Source organism: Homo sapiens, chromosome 19 (assembly GCF_000001405.40).
Source record: "Homo sapiens chromosome 19, GRCh38.p14 Primary Assembly".
Classification (NCBI taxonomy): domain Eukaryota; kingdom Metazoa; phylum Chordata; class Mammalia; order Primates; family Hominidae; genus Homo; species Homo sapiens.
In genome coordinates, this window is record NC_000019.10 from 46,370,141 (window position 1) to 46,376,908 (window position 6,768).

Here is a 6,768-nt window from a genome sequence, read left to right on the forward strand (position 1 = left end):
ATAAATTAACCTTAGCTTACTGTAACTTACTTTATAAACTTTTTAATTTTTTAAAACTTTCTCACTTTGTTGTAATAACACTTAGCTTAAAACACACATATACACCTGTACAAAAATATTTTCTTTATATCCTTATTCTGTAAGCTTTTTTCTGTTGAAAAAATATTTCTTTTGCTTTTTAAACTTTTTTGTTAAAAACGAAGACACAAACGCAGACATTAGCCTAGGCCTACGCAGGGTCAGGAGATCAGTATCACTGTCTCCCACCTCCACACCGTGTCCCACTGGAAGGTCCTCTGGGGCTGTCACACGCATGGAGCTGTCATCTAGGGTGACAGTGCCTTCTGGATACCCCTGAAGGACCTGCGTGAGGCCCTTGAGAAGGTGTGGTTCTTTTCAGAAAAATGTCCATGGTGGTTCGCTTGGCTTCTTTTTTCGTCATGGATTTGTGTGAGTAATGGCGTTGTGCTGAGACATTCCCATGGCTGTGCTGTCACCAGGCAATAGGACTATTTCAGTGTGTTTATCTTCTGGGACCACACTTGTATATGTGGGCCACTGCTGACTAAACATCATTATACAGCTCATGACTGTGTGTATGTCTCTCTCTTTTTTTTTTGAGATGGGTCTTGCTCTGTCGCCCATGCTGGAGTGCAGTGGCGGGATCTCGGCTCACTGCAAGCTCCGCCTCCCGGGTTCATACCATTCTCCTGCTTCAGCCTCTCTAGTACCTGGGACTACAGGTGCCCGCCACTGCGTCCAGCTAATTTTTTATATTTTTAGTAGAGATGGGGTTTCACTATGTTAGCCAGGATGGTCTTGATCTCCTGACCTCATGATCCGCCCACCTCGGCCTCCCAAAGTGCTGGGATTACAGGCGTGAGCCACCACGTCCAGCCTGTGTGTGTGTGTCTCTCTCATTAGTTCTGTCTCTCTGGAGAACCCTGACTCTCATGATGGATGTCCCTCACGGGGTCCTTTTCCGGAAGACACCACCTATGTTCTTTCCTGTCTATGCTTGGAACTTGGGTGCAAACCTAGGCCGGATCTGGGGGACTCCCTCTGTGCTCCCTGGCCCTTCCTGGGATCTCCTGATTTTTGTTCTGTGGCTTTGGGTTCCTTACATCAGAGTCCAGCACAGTCAGTTAGAAATGCGTGTTGCCTTGCAAGCGGATACTAGTGCCTGTACACCTACAGCATGGATCTGTGAAAGTAACAGGAATAGTCACAACCACTATTTCATCCAGCGCTCGCCAGGGCCCAGGGTGTGACCTTCATGCAGTAATATAACTCATTTCATCTTCACGGCTACCCTGCGCAGTGGAGACTCTCTTTGTCCCTGGTTTATAGGTGAGGAAACCAAGGCCCAGAGGGTAGCTCACTCCACTGAGGTTGCACAGCCAGGAGGTGGCAGCTTTGTCCCAGAGTCAGGCCATAAGCAGGGCAGGCGCAGCGGGTCCGAGTTTCTCGGCACAGCACTCACCCTTAGCTCAGGCAGTGCACCTTGGTGGTCTCTCTGACTTATTATACAGAGAATGCTGGGTATGACTTGCCAAACTCATTCACCAGAAACTAACCCACTAGGGTAAAAACCCTTATGTCAGGCTTCAGGCTGTCACTAGCAGCGGCATTTCCTGCCCTGGAAACCTGACTTCCCCCAGCTGCCTGCATGCCTCAGGCAGGCACGGCTCCCTTCTGGGCTGCTGCTCATTGTCTGCATGTTGGAGATATTCAGAATGCCCTGTTACACCTTGTACTGTGGGTCCACTCCATGTGGGATCTTGATGCTGCTCTATAATCCCTCACCCTTAGTTTTAAAACCCAAGCAGTTCTGAAGAACAGTTGTTCTGGTAAGTTTGGGCAGCTCGTTCAGTGGCAAAACCTGACCTGAACTACTAAGAAGCTGCTGATGGTCTTGATTACTCTCCAGTGGCATGTCTGGAGGTTTTGCTGCAGAAATGGCCGTGTATGTGCTTGTGATTACTAGGTACTGCCTTGGACCTGCTGGGGGTGTCCTATGATAGAGCATGTACACAAAATCATGTGGGTTTTTTTGTATTGTTTTGTTTTGGTTTTTTTTTGAGACAGAATCTCACTGTGTTACCCAGGCTGGAGTGTGATGGCACAATCATGACTCACTGCAGCCTTACCTGGGCTCAAGCAATCCTCCCACCTCAGCCCCCCAAAGTAGCTGGGACTACAGGCATGCACCACCATACCTGGCTAGCTTTTTGTTGTTGTTGTTATTTTTTTCTAGAGATAGGGACTCACTATGTTGTCCAGGCTGGTCTTGAACTCCTGAGCTCAAGTGATCCTCCCACCTCAGCCTCCCACAGTGGTGGGATTATAGGTGTGAGCCACCACACCCGGCCATCTACCAAATCACCTTACTAAAATCCAAAAAATTCCCAATCCCCAAATACACGCAGCCCCCAGGGCTTCTTCGGGGATTGTGAACCTGTGTTACCATTTCACCAGCTCCAGACATCATTACCCATGAGTACTCGCTGACGAAGATAATGCTTTTAGAAACAACTTGTTTACTTAGCACTGTGGATTCACCTGCAGTTGTAAGAAGTAATGCAGAAATCCCAGTTTTCCCTAAAGGTATATCTGGCATAACTACATAAATATCACAGTCAGAATACTGACCTTGATACAATCCAACTGCCACTTTAAAAAAAAAGTTCAGTGTGAAGTTCTGACCCGGTGGGCCTTCAGGAGCTGAGTCCCTTCTGGTCTGGACTGAATGACCTTCCTCAGGAGCAGGAGCCCAGCAGGGCATCTTCACTGTCCCAGCTAGACCTTGCGTGTCGCAGCAGCTACAGTAGCAGCAGGCCTTGGGATGAGCACTTGCCTGCTGCTGCCTGGCATTAAGTTCTCACGACAATCCTCCAGGGGGTGCTGGCACCACCCCTACTTTCTAGAAACTGAGGGAGGCTTGAGATGTGAGGCCGCCTGTCCTGGCAGGCCTGGATTCAGACCCAGGAGGCCTAGTCCCAGAGCCCAGGCTCATAACCACTGCCCCACGCTGCCTCCCTGGAGGGCATGCAGTGTGCCCCAGGGACGAGAGGCCCAGGCAGGGAGGGGAGGTGGTGGAAGGGGAGCCCATCCCAGCGTGCATAGCGGAAATCAGGAGCCTGGGCTTTGGCGCAGTTTCGCCTGGGAGAGAAGGGAATCCTGGCTTCCTGGGTGGGTGACTTCACCTCCCCGGGCCTTGGTTTTCTTGTCTGTCAGATGAGGATTGTGAAAACACTGCCATGTAGAGGTGCATGGAGGATAAATGAGCAAGTGAATTGCTTACACAATATTAGGCACATAGTAAGTGCTCTAGAAGTGAGCTGTGTATTATTATTGTTGCCGCTGCCACTGTTGGTATTCCCACTCCCTTTCTCCTCCCTGCGCTGTCATTGTTTGCCTTCATCTGCCTTCCCAGCCCGCCCACCCCTGGAGAACAGGAGACTGGCGGGGAGGAAATGCTCAGTCACTCATTCATTTCTTTGGAGAAAGGGGGGAAGGGAAATTCATTGACTGCTGCACGCACAGCTATGGCTGAGCCTCAGCCCTGCCCTCACAGGGCCACCTTCCAGCGGGGTGGACAGACCGGTTCCGAACCAGCAGGGCTCACGGCTGGAACAAGGGAGCCCAGGGGCCTTTGGGAGCCCAGAGGGGGTGCCTGACCCAGCCTCTGGGGCTTCCTAGAGGAGGGATCAGTGGGGCTGAGACCTGGAGGAGGAGCTGGAGGTGCAAATGAGGTGCTCTGGGCAGAGGCAGCCTGCATAAAGGCCTGGAGCCAGCATGCCGGGGACATGAGTGGTCTGGCTGGGAGGTATAGAGGGGTGGGAGGAGCCGCATGGGCCAGGCCACATGCTGGTTTGGATGCCAGCCGGGTGTGGGCACATAACCACTCCTCATTGGGAAGGATGCCAGGGGCTGCCTGGCACTGTCTTCCTCCCCTGCCTTACACCCACCCACAGCCCAGGTGGAGCTGCCTGGCAGGGTGCCCTAGGCCTGCCCAGACAGGGAGGAGGCCGTGGCCTGCTGGGCCTGGGCTCTTCTCACCCCGCTTGGCGCACACACCTGTTTCCAGCATGGATGAGCCTCACCCCCTGCTTCTGTCACACCAACCTGCAGGGGTCAGTGGGTGTCTCTGTGGAGGTTTCTGAGTCACGCTGCCAGGCTTTCCACCAGAGGCCACCCCTGCTCCTTGAGGGCCGGCCCTGGGACCTCCCAGTCTGTCCTCTGGCACAGGAGATACGGGGGTCTGCTCCTGGGGAGGCTAAGGATGGTGGGCAGGTCAGACGGGGGTCTACGTGACTAAACAGGTGAAGTCACTTGCCCAAAGTCACATGGCAAGTAAGTAGCAGAGCCAGGATCTGAATCCAGCCCCCAAATCCAGTCTGCTTTTCAGGTTAGAAGATCAGAGTTTGCAGGAATCGGGGTAAATAAGGTTGCGGGGATAGGGCTCCTTTCACTGGGAACTTGCTATGTCCCAAAGCTGAACGCCCCATGCCTATTGTGTATGATCTGGTCATCAGCGCAGCAGCCCCAGAAGGGGGACCGTGAAGAGCAGTGGGCGCCCACGTGGAGTTTCCTTTCACCTGGCACCACTGTGCAGGGTTCACAAGCATTCACCCATGCAGCTCTCCCAGTGGCCCTCTTGAGGGAGATATATATGGTTCTCAGTCCCACCTCAGAGAGAAACTGAGCCACAGAGAGGCAGACTCACCTGCCTGAGGTCACCCAGCTCATGACTTGCAGAGCTGGGATTTGAACCCGGTCTCAGGGATCTGTGACCCTCAGTTCCTCTCTTCAGTGGACAAAACAGGGAAATCTTTTGTCCTGGGCCTCCCCAGAGTGTGAGGGAGGGAAGTAACAGCACTCGGTGCTGCTGCCCACCTGCCCCTGCTGCATGCCGGGCCCCCTGTGTTACTTATTCCTTCCCACAGCCCTGGCAGGGGAGCCCTGTGTCACCTCCCTGTTAGAGATTAGGTAACCTGGGCTTGGGGAGTCCATGTCGTCCAGCAAGTCATTGGCCCTTTGTGTGAGTCTGGGCTGTTCTGTGACCGTAGACCCAGCCGGGCCCTTCCTCTCATGCTCCGCCACCTTGGTAGTCACGATAGTAGCATCAGGACCTGTGCTTGGGATGCTGCTCACCCCACAGGGATTCTCACAGGGCACCTGAAGCTGAGCCCGCAGTCCTCAGACAGGCAGTTGTTTGATTTTAGCGCGCTCATAGCTAAGATTGATGAAGTGCACCCATGCGGGCAGCTTTGCTGTGCCCAGTTTTGGGGTGCAGAAACCAAGGCTCGGCAGTTAAATACGTCTAGGGTTGCACCATCAGCACCTGGCGCCCAGGCGGTCTGACTTCCACTTTCATGGAACCCAGGGCTGGGCAGCCTGGGGGCAACCGCTGTGCCCCCACCTCAGCCTCAGTGTGCACGCCCCTTCCCTCCCACCCAGGTGGTCAAGGTGAAGCCCCATGACAAGGATGCCAAAATGAAATACCAGGAGTGCAACAAGATCGTGAAGCAGAAGGCCTTTGAGCGGGCCATCGCGGGCGACGAGCACAAGCGCTCCGTGGTGGACTCGCTGGACATCGAGAGCATGAGTGAGTCAGGCCTGGATGCTCCACGCTCCAGCCCAGAACATTCCACACGGGCCTTCTCCATTCCCTGGGGGTGGGGTTGGGCTCAGGGGTGGCCCCTTGTTCTGTCCCCAGGCTGGTGTCTGTCGCTCCTCTGCCTGTGTTCCAGGGCGCTCCATCCACAGCCCAAAGCTGGGCCTCACGCTTCCCAGTGAGCGAGATTGGAGAGCCATGGTCCCCCTGCCATTTCACGGGCCCTTCCTCCGGGTAGTAGCACAGTCCCCACAGGCTGTGTCTGATTCACCTCTAGGTGCTGAGAAGATCCAAGGGATTGTTGTGGATCATCCCACAGATGATTATTGAGCATCTCCTATGTGCCCGGCACTGTCCTAGGCACTAGGGGTACAGCTATGAACAAAACCCTTCCTGTCCACATGGAGCCGATATTCTAGGAGGGAGATAAGATGATGAATAAGTCATGAAATGAATAGTGCTAAGTGCCATAAAACTGAATAGAGTAAAGGGGGGTGGGTGAAGGAAGACAGGGAGGTCAGGAAGAGGCCTCTGGGCCAGACCTGACCCAGGAGGGGACTCTTCACTCACTCTGTCCCGCTCTCGACCTGTGTGTCCACACCCAAGTTTTCCCCATCCCTGGGAGCGAGACCCCCTTCTCCCTCATAGTGGCTGTGGTCACTGACTCTCGTGTCCCGTTGTTCACACCCTAGCCATTGAGGATGAGTACAGCGGACCCAAGCTTGAAGACGGCAAAGTGACAATCAGTTTCATGAAGGAGCTCATGCAGTGGTACAAGGACCAGAAGAAACTGCACCGGAAATGTGCCTACCAGGTAATGCATCTGTCAGGTACTGGGCACCCGGGAACCCTGGGATGGCATCACAGCACTGCCAGCCGCGGGCACTGAGCAAAACGACAGGAGAAGGGCGGCCATGACAGCCAACACCAAACAGGAGTCGTGTGCCGGACACTGTGCCGAGGGCTTACCACATGATCTCATCTCGTCCCACAGCAGTTTGGGGAGGTGGCAGGCAGTGCCATTTGACAGATGCAGGGACAAAGGGCCAGAGAGGTCAGGTGACTGGCCCAGGGTGAAAGGTGAGGAAGCAGTAGAGTCTGTTGCTTTGAGTTCTCATCCCAGGCTCTTGGGCGTCTGTGGCTGCTGG

At 54.1% G+C, this 6,768-nt stretch overlaps 1 protein-coding gene across 2 annotated transcripts in view; it reads left to right on the forward strand.

The window, feature by feature from the left end:
• Nucleotides 1-6,768, forward strand: part of PPP5C (protein phosphatase 5 catalytic subunit) — a 43,889-nt gene that overhangs the window by 23,054 nt on the left and 14,067 nt on the right. For both annotated transcript variants that reach the window (NM_006247.4, NM_001204284.2), the window contains exons 3-4: nucleotides 5,464-5,611; nucleotides 6,313-6,434. In NM_006247.4, coding sequence (NP_006238.1) covers nucleotides 5,464-5,611; nucleotides 6,313-6,434 — 270 coding nt within the window. The remainder of the gene's footprint in view (nucleotides 1-5,463; nucleotides 5,612-6,312; nucleotides 6,435-6,768) is intronic.